The sequence below is a fragment of the Homo sapiens genome, chromosome 17, assembly GCF_000001405.40.
Source record: "Homo sapiens chromosome 17, GRCh38.p14 Primary Assembly".
Lineage (NCBI taxonomy): Eukaryota > Metazoa > Chordata > Mammalia > Primates > Hominidae > Homo > Homo sapiens.
In genome coordinates this window covers 55,157,400-55,174,037 of record NC_000017.11, presented here as the reverse complement: position 1 = coordinate 55,174,037, position 16,638 = coordinate 55,157,400, and the positions used below count along the sequence as shown (strand labels likewise).

At 38.3% G+C, this 16,638-nt stretch overlaps 1 protein-coding gene across 7 annotated transcripts in view, besides 1 other annotated feature; it reads right to left on the bottom strand.

Moving 5' to 3' along the window:
* Positions 1-16,638, bottom strand: part of STXBP4 (syntaxin binding protein 4) — a 244,509-nt gene that overhangs the window by 39,236 nt on the left and 188,635 nt on the right. For 5 of the 7 annotated variants that reach the window (XM_017024410.2, NM_001398481.1, XM_017024411.3 and 2 more), the window contains one exon: positions 406-14,241. The exons of the other annotated variants lie outside the window; for them this stretch is intronic. In XM_017024410.2, coding sequence (XP_016879899.1) covers positions 14,127-14,241 — 115 coding nt within the window. In that variant the 3' untranslated portion in view covers positions 406-14,126. Of the gene's footprint in view, positions 1-405; positions 14,242-16,638 lie in introns of those variants that run through there. 7 annotated transcript variants of the gene reach the window in all.
* Positions 1,519-1,568: an enhancer, noted in NCBI's record as "active region_12414". NCBI's record gives its function as "activates an Ori minimal core promoter by ATAC-STARR-seq in GM12878 lymphoblastoid cells {active_cell/tissue: GM12878}" and the evidence as "EXISTENCE:reporter gene assay evidence [ECO:0000049][PMID:35858748]".

Genomic DNA, 16,638 nt, shown 5'->3' with positions numbered 1-16,638 from the left:
GAGAGAGAGATATGACAATGGAAGAAAGTTCAGAGAGGATGAGAGAAGGGTTAGAAAGAGATGTACATGAAGGGACTGGACTTGACTGGCCATTGCTGGCTTTGCAGGTGGATAAAGGGGGTCAAAAGGCAAGTTCTATGACCTCAAGGAACTGAACCTAAATGGATTCTCTCTGACGGCCACCAGAAAGAAATACAACCCTGCTGATAATTTGAATTTAGCCCATTAAGACCTTTCTGACCTACAAAACTGTAAGATAATAAATTTGTAATGCTTAAGTCACTAAATTCATGTAATTTTAAAGGGCAACAATAGAAAACATATATATCACAAAATCAAGAAATCCTACTTGTGGGTATTTCATCTAGAGAAATGAATACTTATGTTCACACAAAAACCAATACGTGGATGTTGATAGCAGCTTTATTCATAATCACCAAAGCCTAGAAACAACCCAAATGACTTTCAGTGGGTGAATGGCTAAAGAAACTGTGGTATATCCATACAATGAACTATAACCCAGTAATAAAAACAAACTACTGATACACACAACGATCTGGATGAATCTCAAAGGCATTATGCTGGGTGAAAGAAGCCTGTCTCAGAATGTTACATAATACATGATTATTTATATGATATTCTCGAAAAGGCAAAACTACAGTTACGGAGAATAGAGCAGTAATTGCCAGGAGTTGGGGTGGGGAAGGGTGTGTTATAAAAGCATAGCAGGAGAGCACTTGAAATGATAAAACTGTTCTGTATCTTGATTACGGTTGTGGTCAAATAACTAGACATGTGTTAAAAATTCATAGAACTCTGCACTCCCCCAAAAGTCACTTTTTTCTGCATTAAAAAATAATAAACTTTAACTATAACAACTCAATGACAAAACAAGGCAAAACAATGAAACAAATCTCATTGCTGACACAGCTTTCTGGGAATTTCCAATCCTAGAGAATGAATGTATCACATACATGGTTGGGGAAGGAGACACAGTTACTTCTCTTTCCTTTGTGCCCTGGAAGCCCCTCAACATCTTTCTAGAAGTAGAAGGTGCTCCAGCAGGGGTTTTGGAAACTTATCTCAGTCTTTTCCTTTTCCAGTAAAAGGAGGAGCTGGCTTAGATAACCTCTACAGTCCTTCACAGCAGGTAACTAGAACTCAGCTCAGTCCTTGTGTAGGTGCAGGGTGACCTACCTGTCCTGGCTTGCCCAGAGCTGAGGGAGTTCCCAGGATTTGGGACCTTCAGTTTACAAATCAGGAGTTAGTTACTCTAACATGACTCAGGGAAGTCACATAACTCATCCGAGCCTTAGTTTTTTCTCATATGCAAATTAGAAATAATGCTTGCCCTATCTCACCAAGTTATTACGAGATGCAAACTTTAAACTGTAACTTCTATGTAAATGTGAGTTGGTGGGATTATTACTAACTTTTAGAAGAAATGACTTAGGGACAGTCTTCAAATTTGGAAAAATAAAAGTATTATTAAAGGAAGTTATGCAGTTGAAATATGTGTGTGTATCTGACTGCAGCATTGTTCAGTTTGCAGTTTCAGTTTTGAGGCTATAAGAATATATGCATCCAAGAAAGTAACTTTTGTTTTTCATAATCTGCTGAAGTTTTAGTTACCTGCATTCCAGGACAGGCTATGGCAGTGAACCTTGGCTACACATTGAAATCACCTAGAATCCTTAAAACACAGGTGCCAGGGTCCTATTCTCAGAGAGTCAGGGTTAATGGGTCTGGGGTTTGGCTAGGCTTTGTAAATTTTAAAATCTCTCCAGGTGTTTCTAATGTGCTACCAAGAGCCTCTTAATATACCAGACCTGGTCATCGCCCACATGGGCTTGCACCTTTAAGATGGTGCCACTTGGAAGTTTGTTCTTACTACTAACCCAGATGAGTCAAACCTTACCTACAGTTGAGTGAGCTCCCTCCACAAGAAAAAAGTCTTAGATATGCCTCTAAGTGAGAGGACTTCTGATCTCAATAGGGCAATAACTCACATCTACAAAGAATGACCAACAGTGGGACCAGTCACTCAGGGTAATGACACTATAATTATTGCTGTTTTTATTATCCAAAGGAGGACAGTTCTGGATTGGGGGATGTATTAGTTTGCTAAGACTGCCAAAATAAAGCACACTAACTGAGTGGCTTAAGCAACAGAAATGTATTGTCTCACAGTTTGGAGGCTAGAAGTCCAAGGTCAAGGTGTCAGCTGGGCACCGCTCCCTCTGAAGGCCCCAGGGGCGGGGGAGGGAGGGTTCCATTCTAGGCCTCTCTCCTAGCATCTCCTAGGTAGTTCCCTGGCTTATGGCAACAGTGCCAATTTTAGGACTTCAACATACAAATTTTGGGGGGACACAGTTCAACCCGTAACATGAGAGCAGTCAGTTTCCATGTACATGGCACCATGTATCTTATTCAGGTGTACTCTAAAATACCATGATGGGGTATGGTCAAAACGGACTGGAATCTGGCCTAGGCTTCAATGGGGAGGTATTCCCTGGTCAGCAAGGAAAAGCTACAGAAGGTTAATTCACAGATTATTCCTTATAGATAAATCAATAATCTTGGCTGATGTTAGATGTTTTAAAAACTCAGCCTTAAGCAAAATAAGAATTAAAGGAGTTAGTAAGTTCCCCCTCAATAAGAATATCTAAGCAAAATCTTGATGAGCTATTGGCCAGGGGTGCTTTGGAAGGATTCTTTCATTTGAAAGGTGGTTGGACTAGAGGAACTTACAAATTCACCTCAATTCTAGGATTTTGTGCTTCTTGCAAAGACTATTCAGAGGCACACCTGATGTTTTGTGGTAGAGTTCTGCACCAGGCACTATATCCAAAAGAAGGACACTTTAGACATGGCTCTAAGTCCAAAGAGTTAATGTGAAAATCCTAATGATGCATCAACTCTGCTAAAATCCATTGCTGGTTTTACTGCACAAAAGTTTTCAAGGCAGAAAAAAATAGGTCCAGGATCTTTGACAATGGCAAGATAAAGACGGTAAACTTAGATGTCCTGCAGGACTGCTCAACCAATGATACTGCTCTGAGATAAGTTGACATCCATAATCACAGAATTGGCCCCAGTCTTTCTCTGTCATGAAACTTGGCCCTCCCCAGACAATGAAAACATAAATATCACATCTGTGACAACTCTAGCATTTCTAGCAGGAAAAACAAATCCTGAAAAAGCATCAAATGCAGTGAATCTGACCACACAATGGTAAAATAGTTATTTCAATAAAGATTTTCATTTCAAAAAATGAATTTTTTTGTTGTTTCCACAATAATCAATTTAGTTATTGACAATGCAGGTCAGGCCTCATTCATGGCCATAACATAATCTCTGATCTTTCCAGTCCCTACAACACTACAAATTTTCACAGGATTATACATAGAATTCTAAAGCAAAATAATCCTAGAAAATATAAGTGGAAATAAAAATATATAATCAAATCAGATACACTTTTTTCATACACAATAAATCATTAGCATTTTTTCTTATAAAGGACAGGCTCACTGTAGAGTAGTATGCAGAAAAATATAATAAATAAAATAGATATCACAAATAATGTCATCTAATTTTTTTTCAGATCTTCTATGGTGTTTATATATACAATACTGTTGGTTTTATATTGTATACAGATCTGTTTCCTGTTATTACCACTTGATGTTATTATTGTGATACTTTCTTGGTATCATTAAACATTAGTAAACATTTTCTATCATGTTAGATACCATATTTTATTTAGACATTCCCCTGTTTTCAGGAATTTAGGCAATCATTTCTATTTTAAATCATGCTTTAATAAGCCTTTTAAGCATTTTTTTATTTTGGTCTAAACTTGGGGTCATTTGTGAGGATAAATTCACAGAAGAAGAAATTTTTAAGGCCTTTGATAGATGTTCCAAGACTGCTTTCCAGAATGTTTGTGGTGATTTATAGATGTCCTAAGAATATTTGAGGATATCTATGTCATGTACCTGCACTAACATAATTACTGTGTTTTAAAAATACTTTGGTTTTATTGTATCTTAAATAATTAATCAATAATTCTAAGGAAGCCTTATATCATAGGTGAGAAGGTTTGTTTGAAATTGGCAAGGAGCAAGGTACATGAGGGAGTTTGCATTGTCCACAGCCTTAAAGGTTCACTTCACACAGTAAATACTACAAAATTATCTGTCTTGGATTGTTTAGACATTCAATTGCTTGAATGTCCAGGGACAAACCACTTGATCTCTTCTAAGTATTTCATGTTAGGGTTTTTAGAAATAGCTTTTAACACAATTTTGATTGAAATAATTTTTCAGAAAGCCCATTTCACTTGTTAAGGCATTTCATCTTTAGCTGAATTTTAAGTATGCTATGAGATAAACCAGGAACAAGGAGACTTGATTCTCTATACCATATTTTATCGATTCTAAGACACACATTTTTCACATCTAAGCGTCTTTAGTATTTGGATGTATAATAGGCACTGCTAGCACTTTCAGATCCCTCTACCACTCTCATGCATGACAGCTCCCTGTGCTTTCACTCTCAACATTCAGCACCTGCACCTCTTTGTTGGACGGCTGTCCTCAGGCTACAGGAACATGCTTTGACTGCATTGCAGGCTGGAAGCACCTGGAAATTTACACCCACCCCCACCCCCACCCCCATTCAATAACTGATGGTGCAGAGGTATAAATACTCTGGGTTCTCTGGCCTCTGACTTGAACCTACTGTAGAACCTTTTTGTCTCTAGGGCTCTCCCGTGGGAGTGAACCAAAGTCATCTCCAGAATAGGCTTTGCTTGACATCACACTTTTTGTGGGTTTTTTTCCCCCTTTCCTTTGGATCGGTTCTATTTCTCTATTTCCCTATTACTTTTCACCCTTGGGCCACTTCCTAATTCACATAAATCCTTATGTCAGAGGAATTAAACATATTACAGGAAGTGTCTTACAATAATTGATGTCCTGCAGTTACTGTCAGCCAGGTGGTCATAGTGATATGGTTGTCTTTGCCTGTGCATGCATGAATTTGGTTGTTCTTTCCATGATATGACTGGACTGTTACTTCTTTACTTTTTGGTCAATAAACCATTTAAGGACTATTGAGAAGAGTATGAATCCTGATTGTTATCTAAAATTTTTCTATTAAGTCCTTTTGCCAAGATAAAAAATGTGCCAGCATCAGAGTTGTAGAATGGATGTCTAAGACAGGGAAAAAAATCTCAGAGACTGCAGTAGAATATTCCTTTAAGAAATGTTATTTATCCTGATGGCAGAGAGGGTGTTACCGTGAAAAATTGTGGTTTATGACAACTCTGATTCAAAAAAGAGATGCAGAAAGAGTTCAATTCTGAATGTACAGAGCTTTGTAAATATCATAATTAATATTTCATTCTCTTTTACACACATGATTTTTAAAAATCTATGCTGAAACAGTTCTCTTGTATTTACTTAAAGGCGTATAAGATAAAAATTCTAACTACTAAGTCATATTTTAAATCTTTTTTTCATTTTCAGTTACACACAAAATAATGATGGGTCTTATAACTGATGAAATACTAATTGGGAATATGGTACTTATAGAGACAGAAGAAATACAATCAATGAACAGTCTTAATTGGAAAAACTAAGGTAACTTCATAGACTTCTCACTTTCCATTTGTAGAGAGAGTTCTACTGGTAAATGAGGAACCACCAGTATTTGGTCATATTTTTGAAATTGTGTAGATTTTATTAAATATTTCTTATTCCTCCAATACGTGTGTGTGTGTGTGTGTGTGGTGTGTATATACACACAGATATATATATATACACACACACACACACACATATACTAAGTGTATGTGTGTGTATGTATGCATTCTATTTCCTTCAAATTTCCCTTATATCGAGTACTTTTATCAGAGAAGTAATCCATGCATTTAATTTGGTGCCAACTTCTTATTTTTGTGTGGTAATCACCAAAGAAAAATAAAAGCTGGCATTAGATTAAATGCATAGATTACTTCTCTGAATGATAAAACTGCCTAAAGAAATAGAATCTGCTCATAAACATCTTTTCATATTCCATTCCACAGAAATTTCTGACCTTACCTGTCTATATTACCTATTCCTATAAGGTAACTTTATTATCTACTCAATTTGTTTTGTCTTCCTGTTGTCTCTTCTCGTGTGTGCTGATGAAAGATGAATTTCTCCACTGTGAAACAGAACAGTCAAGCAATTCCAGTGGGGTTACTTATAGATGAGATAATTTCTGCAATTTCAGAGTTCTGTGGCAATACATAGCTCCCTTGTGCCAAATCAATTCTTCAGTAACATGATTAATTAACCCATAAGAACAGAAGTTTGCTGCTGCTCTGAAATGCACTAACCTTGTATTTTGGTTTCAGGCTTTATCTACCCTTCTATACCAAAATCATTCTGTGGTATTTCTTCAGAACCTTGGGCAAATCAACAATGTGTGAGTATGTGCTTTACAATCCTTTTACTGCGATCATACTGTGAGTTTTATGGCCCAACTTAAGTAGCATACACTTCCTTCTTCAGCAAAATCCATTATATTGTTCCCACATTAGTGGAACTAGTTAGTACAGACATGCTTACTTAAACCCCCACCTCATTTCCTTCTTAATTCAATCTTTGTTTCCCTGCCAGAAGCAGGAAACAGCTAAAAGAGTTTTTTATGTTAATGTTACATTTTAAATTTATTTTGTAAACTTTTATTAGATTTTACTGTGTCATGTCTTGCATGAGAAATAAAAAATAATATATGGACTCTGAGTCAGTAATAAAGGACTCACAGTCTACTAGGAGAGATGACACATGCCCTACTTTCCTATCCAAATTAATTACATATATAGTGTGATTGATACTTTATTAAAAGGTATGCAGCAATAGGGGACTGCGGTAGGATTTCAGAGTTGGAAGCCTTCCAGTTAACCTTCTCAGCCTCTAGGGTTTTAGAATAAAATACCCCAAAGCCAACAACAGATAAGAAACAACAGACCATCCTGGCCAGTATTCTGTTTTCCCATTTCCTTCCCACCTCCACCTGATTTACTCACCTAGCTACTGATGTTGAGTGGAACAGCCACAGTGAGAGAGACCACTTAGCTTTAACCAGAGTTCCGGTTTTCATTACCACATGGAGAAAGAGAAGGTAGAACCAGATTTCAAGCCTCTAAGACTCAGTAACCCAGCTCAGTAGATAAAAGTAAATTAGTAAATATAGTAACCAAATGAGTGTCCGGACAAACAGGCCAGCAACTCTCTTGAGGTGGAAGTTCTTGCTCTACCACTCCTGAGTGGGAAGTGGGGTTGGGCAGGTGTGTAAAAATGCAGGCATGGCATCCATAGAGTGCCAGCTCTGGGCATGGGGAAGGCAGCATGTGTCAAGGAGCTCTTCAAAGAAGAGGTAAAATGAGAGCAGAATCTTGATGTATGAGAAGAAATCTGATGCAGGAATGGGGCAAGAGAAGTTTCCTAGACAGAAAACAGTATATCTGAGCAACTGTTGGTGATAAGACATGAGGCTAGGGAGAAAGCCAGGGACTCAGATAGTAGAAGGTGCTAGGGAACTACTGAAGACTAGCAAGGGAGGAATAGAAGCAATTTTGTGTTATAGAAAGATAATTCTGACAGAAATGTGATGGGTAGATTGATGGGGACAGGTGTGGTGGAGAAGGAAGAAGCTATATCACCTGTGTTGAAAGCATCCAGGTAAGAAATGAGAAAGACTTGAAAAATAAATAAGCCATGTTTGCATGAAACAGAGAAAAGGGAATATATTTAAGAAATGTTCTAGGATGTATTCCTTTTTTTAATCCTAAACTCACCAATTAGGTAAATCGCTGCCTAAGGAAGAAGCAGAGACAGGACAAAAGTGTTACTTTAATGGAGCACTCTCTACAAAGAAACACCAGGAATAGGGAATAAATGGATCCTGAGCAACATTAATCTCAGGCAACTTGCAGTTCTTTCCTTTCCTTGGGGTCACTGCTAAACTCTGTGGGCTGTCTTAGTCCATTCAGGAGCTGCTATAACAAAATATCTCAGACTGGGTAATTTATAAACAATATAAATGTATTGTTCACAGCTCTGGAGGCTGGGAAGTGTACGATCAAGATGCCAGCAGATTTAGCTTCTGGTGAGGGCTTGCTCTCTGCTTCAAAGATGGCAACTTCTTGCTGCATCCTCACAAGGCAGAAGGGGCAAACAGGTTCCCTGAAGCCTCTTTCATAAGGGTCCTAATCCCATTCACCAGGATGGAGCCTCATGACCTAATCACCTCCTCAGAGCCGTACCTCTTAATACTGGTACCTTGGGGGTTAGGTTTCAATATATGAAATTAGGGGCTGGGCACAAACATCCAGACCACAGCAGAGGCTTATCTAGTGCTAAGGCACTCTGGGTTAAGATGGTCTAATGTTATTGTCCGAATTGATTTCCATTGAGAGAACATGTGGATTGAATGGAAAAGATCCTCATTCAGGTCCAGCAGGTGTTATTGCTACTCCTGTGATCCTTTTGGGTTCACAGAAATCAATCTAATCCTCCAATGTTGACCACATTGGGCTGGAGGAAGCTCACTGGCGTTGTCCAAGGTCCCACTGCCTAAACATACCACATAATCATTTCCATTCTAGGGGACAAATGTAATTGAGGTTTTGCTGCTCCCTGGAACTTGGTCCAGAAGGTTAAGCCCAGGTCCTTCTCTGTGCCCTACCAACATTTTTGTTCTTTTTTCTCCTTCTCACAGCCAGGAGAATTATTTCCTAGACAGTGAGTAAGAAAGCCTCATCTTCCTCATCATATGTGCTCTCAAATCTTTGACCTAAATCATAAATCCTTTCTAGTTCCCCAAGGAGCTAAATTTTTGAAATGCAAAAGAACATGCTTTTTTCTGCTTTCTGATATCACACTCTTTGTTAACGTAATGAACATTAAATGGTCCAGTAGTTCAAATATCTGATAAAGAATGCGGAGAAAGAAAATAAATGGAAAAAGTTTTGGTTAATTTCAATCGTATATCCTTTGCATAGAATACGAATTACACAAGGGCTAGAAACACATATATCTCACATTGTATCCCTACTACTCAGTGAAGTGTCTGGCCTCTAGTAGCTCTCGGTAAGTGTGTAAGTGAGTAAATGAATACAAGAAGACAAAATCCCTGCCCTCACGAAGCTGACTCCCATTATTACTCCCACTATTGAGGAAGATAACAAACAAAACAAGGTTAGGGCAAACTGATAAATAATGTAAAAGAAATAGGCCGGGCGCGGTGGCTCACGCCTGTAATCCCAGCACTTTGGGAGGCCGAGGCGGGTGGATCATGAGGTCAGGAGATCGAGACCATCCTGGCTAACAAGGTGAAACCCCGTCTCTACTAAAAATACAAAAAAAATTAGCCGGGCGCGGTGGCGGGCGCCTGTAGTCCCAGCTACTCGGGAGGCTGAGGCAGGAGAATGGCGTGAACCCGGGAAGCGGAGCTTGCAGTGAGCCGAGATTGCGCCGCTGCAGTCCGCAGTCCCGCCTGGGCGACAGAGCGAGACTCCGTCTCAAAAAAAAAAAAAAAAAAAAAAAGAAATAAACAGGGTAGAGTGATATAGAGAATAATTGGGTGATGGGGGAATGGAATGGGGGACAGAACTATTGATCTGATCGCCCTTTCCCTCAGAACAGTCCAACCCCCAAAAGTAAAAATTGAACTTTTGAAAAAAGTAGACAGAAACAGTATAAGTTTAAATGTTAAAAGTCATATCAAGAAAGCAAATACAGAATTGCAGTTAATATTTACAAAGTCATTATGCAGACACACTATTACATGTAGACAGTTGTAGTTAAAACACCTTGGGTATTTCATTTCTAAAGCGAAGCTCCACAGGCACATTCTGTTTAAGGTTCTTTTCATTCTCTCAAAAGTTATAAGCAATGGAGTGTGTAAGTTGTTTTAATAATAGTTCAGTTCTTTATGTACATTGTAAAAATGTCAAGCGTGTTGATTCTTCAAAAAGTTGCATTTCACTTAGCAGAGAAAATAAAAATGTCCCATTTCTCCCGAGAAAAAGGATAACATTTTCTAATTGTGCAAACACTTTATGAAAGTATCACTTGACTCTATATTTTGACAGCTGCTTTGCATTTATTATTGGAGAGGCTCTTCATACGGCATGTTCCTTTTTTTTCCTTTTCTAGTCAAGAGGTGTTAATATTATTTTGGAATTTTTCAAATTTAAGAGAGTGGTAAAGGGTTGCTCTTCAGGGGTTCTTAATAAACAACCCCCTAACTTCTTACCCCTTTAAGAGGTTGTTTAGGGGGAAAAAAAAGAAAGAAAAATGGTTTTAGACTATGAGCTCCTTGTTTTGAGAATCAGTACCATTTAGCCTCATAGCATGCAAATTTCACATTTTGCCTGGCATGTAGCAGGTGCTCAGGAAGTGTTTGCTGAGTTGAACTGGTTTGAGAAAAGGCAAGGGATTACTATCCTTATTATTCAGATAGGGAAAGTGAGGCCCAAAGAACTCGAAGATGCATTTGTATTGTGCTTGGTACTTTAGTGAACGTCTCACCCAAGTTAGCTCATTTGAAAGTTGGTCCTCGCAACCATTACATGTAAAGTAGGAAAAGAGAAGAGTAATGATGTGTTTGACATATAGTGAGTTAGTCACTACTTGACTTCCCTCTATACAGCAAGTCAGTCTCTGCTGCTAAAGGAAATCTAAAACCTAATGATTAAAAATCTCAGGTTCTTGGACTTGGTGGAAGGAAGGTTATTCTTCCAAGGACAAAAAAAAAAAAAAAACCCAGAAAATCTATAGGAACATTTGGACTAAAAAAAGTCCTATCATACATAAAAATAAGGCTCACATACACTATTGGTGGTAATGTAAGTTGGTCCTACTTTTATGGAGAATTTATGGATATGTACCAAAATTAAAATGAATGTAACTTTGACCTAGCTTTGATCAAGAAATTTATGAATGTATTCACACTATAGACATACTAGCACAAGAGTGCAAAGATACATGAGGAAAAGGATTTAATGAATATATAAATGTTCACTGTGACATTGTTAGCAATAAGAAAACTTAAAACATTTTAGTGTTCAATAAATTGCTGGCCACACAAATTATAGGTTATGTGGGTAGTGATATTTTATGTAGACATTTGAAATAAAAGATTAATCTATGTATTGACATGAAAAGATGACCACAACATAACATGTCAAAACCAAGCTGCTTAATAGTGTGATTTCCTTTGAGTAAAATCACTCACCACAGTATTAGTGACTGCTACCTCTGGAAAGTGAGACAGGCTATCTCTTACTTTATTCACTTCCAAAGTACTTGATTTTTTTTAAATAAAATAGATTAGTTTTAAAATTCAAAAATTAAGAAGCAGCTGTTTAGTCCTGGCCACACACAAACTCTTTTGTTGTTTTTTTTTTTTTAAATCAAGAGTAAGTGGAACCCAGGAAATGATTAGCAATTGTTCTACTTCACCACAGTGTTTAGCACAGTGCTTGTGACATTGTTGGTGCTCAATAAATATTTTGAGGGAATGAGTGAGTAAGGATGAGTCAACTTGGGCACTCTAGTAAAGTGAGACGGAAGGACATAAGAACATTCAGATTTTCTAACCCTAAAATCCAAGCCAGTGAGTCAATGAAGACTTCGTGATGACCACATTGCTACGGTTGATTGATGTTAAAGAAAGACTGGCTACTCGCCAAAACATAATATGAGGGTCGTATTTGCACTGGAAAAGGATTCTTGCTAAGCCCTGACCATGCTTTTTTGAGCATCTCTTATGGCACCGACCTGATGGTTTAGAAGTCACGGAAGCTTTATGAAGAGGGAATCTGAGAGAGTGGCCAACTGGTTCAGTCCATTCACACACTGAACCTCCTCAGCAACATTCCCCAAGTAAGGAATTCAGATTGCTGGGATAGTGTTTCCATTTTCTCCTGGGGAATTCTTTTCTTATCAGCTCTAATTACTAGAAAGTTCCTTATGACACTGAACTAGAATCTGCCTTTTTATAAAATGTACCCATAGACAATGAATCTAAGCAGTTCTCCATAGTGGTTTAGAGAACAGCTTCTGGAATCACAGATCTGCCTTGAACCCTAGCTTCTACACATAGGTGCTTTGTGACCCTTAGGCAAAGATTACTAACTCTCTAAAACTAAGTTTTTTCTTTTAGAATTGGGGATAATTACAGTTCCTATTTCATGGAATGGTTTTAAGAAGATCATAAATAAATATATGCAAACTGCTCATCACCATGTATGGCACAAAATGCCCAATAAATAATATCATTACAATTGTTTAGGCCTTTTTCACTAGGTATTTGACAGAAACAGGGCGGCAAGTGGTACAAAACAGCAGTTAATGGATGAGGTGTCTCTTGTCAGTGGGCTGTGTGCCTGAGTACTTTGATTTCAGTGACTCAAGCACCTTCTTTGTTTTGCTCACTAGAAACGAATTAGAAAACTCTTCAAGCAGGGGGAGAGAAATTTCATACCATTAATTTGACAAAAACAAGAAGTTTGTACTTTCACAATTATAGACACTAACTTATAGAATACCTCATTCACCTCTGGGGGGTGCAAGGAAATAGCTCCCTCTGGGGCTTCTCTCAAAACTTGTCTCCCCGAAGCTTCCTAACATTCAAATGGCTGTCAGGCAAAACACAAGTCTTCCCTAGCCATCCTGAAACATTTCTCATGGCTAATGACTACCTATCAGTCTGGAGTTGACTTTATATTATTACTCAAGACATAAATCACAAATCCTAAATGGATTCAGGAATGTATAGTTGAGCACAATGTATATGTATATCTTTACCATATAAATCTGTATTATACACCATATGAAATTCAGTAGACTAGGAGACTTAAGATCTCAGTTTACTCAACTATAAAATGGCTACAATGAATGGTTCTTAGACTATGTTCTAAGGACCTCTAGGTCTGCACAGCAGTGCTGGGAGCTGCTCGACTTGGGCTTTAGGCTTCCATCTTGTTTCGAGTAGAGCAGTAATGTTTTAACAGATACCTCTCTTCTCATCAGCTCCCCTCAAACCATCCCTCTGGGAAGGGCAACCTAAGCAGGACAAACCATGCCTTTCACTTTAGAAAAACACGAGCTGCTGAAAGAAGTCTGCTGAAACAATATCACAAAGAGTGCGCCTACTTGGCGAAGGCTTGGGTGCAGAGAAGGGGGAAGGGTTTATAGGAGAAGAATAGTGGGGTTATAGAGGGGCCATGTTTGACCGAAGAGGTGCCTTCTGAATCTCTGTGGAATGCACAGCTGTGGAGCCAGCTGCATCAACACAATCACAGTGTCCTGCGTGATGGGCTGTGACCTCCCTCCGTGGAGACAGCAGGGTATGGGGGAAGGGGGACTGCTCATGGAATCAGAAGACTTAGGAGTGAGTCTCGGTGCTGGGACAGAGAGCTTCCTCTCTCTGAACTGCTATTTCCCTACTGAAAACCAAGAATAAACATACCCACCAGATCAGCTTCACGGGCATGTTGTATGGTTTAAAGACAATGGGGTCTACAAAGCATTTTGTAAATTAGAAAGCTCCACAAAGATACCAGCTGTATTCATCAGCCCATGAGATGTCTAAATGTGATCCTTAAATTCCAAAAAGCTTGCTAAGTTCACTTTCCTAATATATGAATATAAAACATTAGTGAATTATCAAATAAATGAGGTGTTTCATTATGTTCATATACTTTTTCAATATGTCAATTATAAAAACCATTGTATCTGAGACCCTATGAAGAACTACATATGAAATTACAAAGAAAGATCTAATTATATATGAAAAAGTATATATATTATAAAGTCTAATTATATGTGATTTCAAAAAATATAACTAGATTATTCTTAAGGAACTACTGTAGTGGCAATTGATTTTTTAAATGTATACAGAAATATCAAAAGTTTTACAAAAATACCCAAAGTCCAGAGTCTCCATTTCACACTTCAACAAGTAGTGCATGCTTTACTCCTATTTTAGACTGTTTCATCTCAGAATTGGATGTTATGCGTCTCTGCTCACATCATCCATGTAGCTCCACTTCCTAAGGAAAACCATCAACTTTTCTGGTTGGGGAGTTCTCTAGAGCAATCCTCTTCATTCTCCTCTGAGCGAGATAGATTCAGGACACTCATCACGGGATGGATCCAGGATGTAGTCTGTGTTACATGACTTGAGAAGAACAAGAATGCAATTAGAATCTGAAAGACTGTCCTTCTACTCATCCATGCAAGTACTGATCCTGGTGACATTGCTTCTACCCTAGTAAAGTCCCTGTGATAGGAAGCAGTTAGAACTAGATCCAATAGCTTTAATAAGTCTTAGACACATTTTAAGCTTCAATGAAAACCATTTCTTTCTTTCTTCTTTGGTTAAAAAGGAATGCAGGTGAATGCAGCATCTCTAACTCCTTTCGTTTCAGTATCTGACATTCAGTAAGTCAGCAAGTCCAATGACTGCCTTGCTGTAACATCTCTGGAATCTGTTTCTTGCTCTCCTTTTTCAATGAAATAGTCTGGGTCACTGAAATGGTTTGCCTCCCTGCCTCTGCTCTAGTTCTTTTCTAATTCATTCTCTACTGCAGCCAAAGAACTTTCTAAATGACAAATCATACGCTGTTACTCACTTGCTAAACATTCAATGAAATACTTTGTTTTTTTAGCTGCCTCAACAATACCTGCTTTTTAAAATTTTTATTTATTTATTTATTTATTTATGTATTTGAGACAGAGTCCTGCTCTGTCACCTAGGCTGCAGTGCAGCTGCACAATCTCAGATCACTGTAACCTCTGTCCCCTGGGGTTCAAGGAATTCTCGTGCCTCAGCCTCCCAAGTAGCTAGGGCTAAAGGTGCGCACCACCACATCTGGCTAATTTTTGTATTATTAGTAGAGATAGGGTTTCACCATGTTGGCCAGGCTGGTCTGGAACTCTTGGGCTTAAGTGATCCACCCACCTTGGCCTCCCAAAGTGTTGGGATTACAGGCGTGTGCCACTGCACCCCACCAACAATATCTTCTTCTTTCCCATAATCCTTTCCCATGAGAAGTTAACTCTTATTAATTCTAAAAAACCAAATATCCCTTAAGAATCCTCCAATCTGTGCCCATGGTCTTATCTCTTATTAAATCAAATTATAAATGCTTGTTTATTTTTAGGCCTTCCTATTTCATATAAAGCTCCTTAATGGCAGGAACTATATTTCTTATCTCTGAATTTGTGGGGCCTAACATGATCTCAGAACAAATGACCAGCATCCTGAAAAGTGTTTCAGGGAAATAACACAAGCAGAGATGAGAAAGGAAGTACAAAAGATATTGGGTATGTCTAGGAAATGGTGACACATCACGAAATCATGCTCTTAACCTGGTGGATGGTATTTCTTACACTTAGTGTCCTACTCCCAGCCTTTGGCTGGATGAATCTCCTAAATCCACCACCATCTTCCCAACTCTGGAGTGCACGAATTAGGACAAGGATTTGTTTCTTCTCCTTGGACACTCTTTCTAGCCCTGGTTTACCCCACTGCCTTTATCCACCCTAGATCAGTTTCCCTAGCCTTCGTCCTCCCCAAACTCAACCTCAGAAGCAGCATCATGTCTTAGATCAAGTGCATCTGAAGGCCAGTACTTACAACGATTACTTAAGATTGTGGATCTGAAAGTGCCTCCTACATTATAAAGTAACATTTTCCAAAGTATGTTCCCGAGAGTTTTAAATAAATGTTATGTGAAGAATAGCCTGGCACAGTGGCTCATGCCTGTAATCCCAGTTACTGACTTGGGAGGCTAATATGGGAGGACTGCTTGAACTCAGAAGTTTGAGGCTGCAGTGAGGTATGATCCACTACATTCCAGCCTGGGTGACAGAACAAGACCCTGTCTCAATCAATCATCAATCAATTAATCAATGTTATGTGAAGAATATAATTCTACAGTCAAATAAGTTTGACATAATTGAATAGGTTTCTTTACTATAAGATTTCCCAGAGATTTTAATATGCTAATGTGCTCTATGAGTCTCCAAGACTATGTAATATTACTCAAAGTAACATATCTCCGTTAACAAACACAGGGCCAGTGTTCCATAGAACACAATTTGGGAACTATCACAAAAATGCATTCACTTTATTGGCTACTGATTACAATACTGAAAATGTTAGGTAGTACAAATGGTAAGTTCCACTGTTATTATTAGTTTGGTTTGTTTTCAATCCTATAGTATACATTTTGTTCATGTTCCCCCTACACAAATTGTTCAGCTCCTCTGTTTAAATATTAAAAATGTATCTTTTCATGGAAGAAGATTACTAGCGGTTTTATTATGGCATAAAAAGGGTTCAAGTTCTTTAAGAATCAAGGTGAAAGTGACAAGGCCCAGGCATCTTCACAGCTTCAAAAGCTCAGAGTGTGGTTTAGTGTACAAAGAATCATTATTCTCTTGACGATAATCCACATTACTAATATCTCTTTAAAATGGTTTAATGGAATTTCTTATTATGGAGGCTAAATTTACTAAAGTATTTGATTCGGCACAGGTTAACTTCATTTCAAGGCCTTTATAAAGCTGG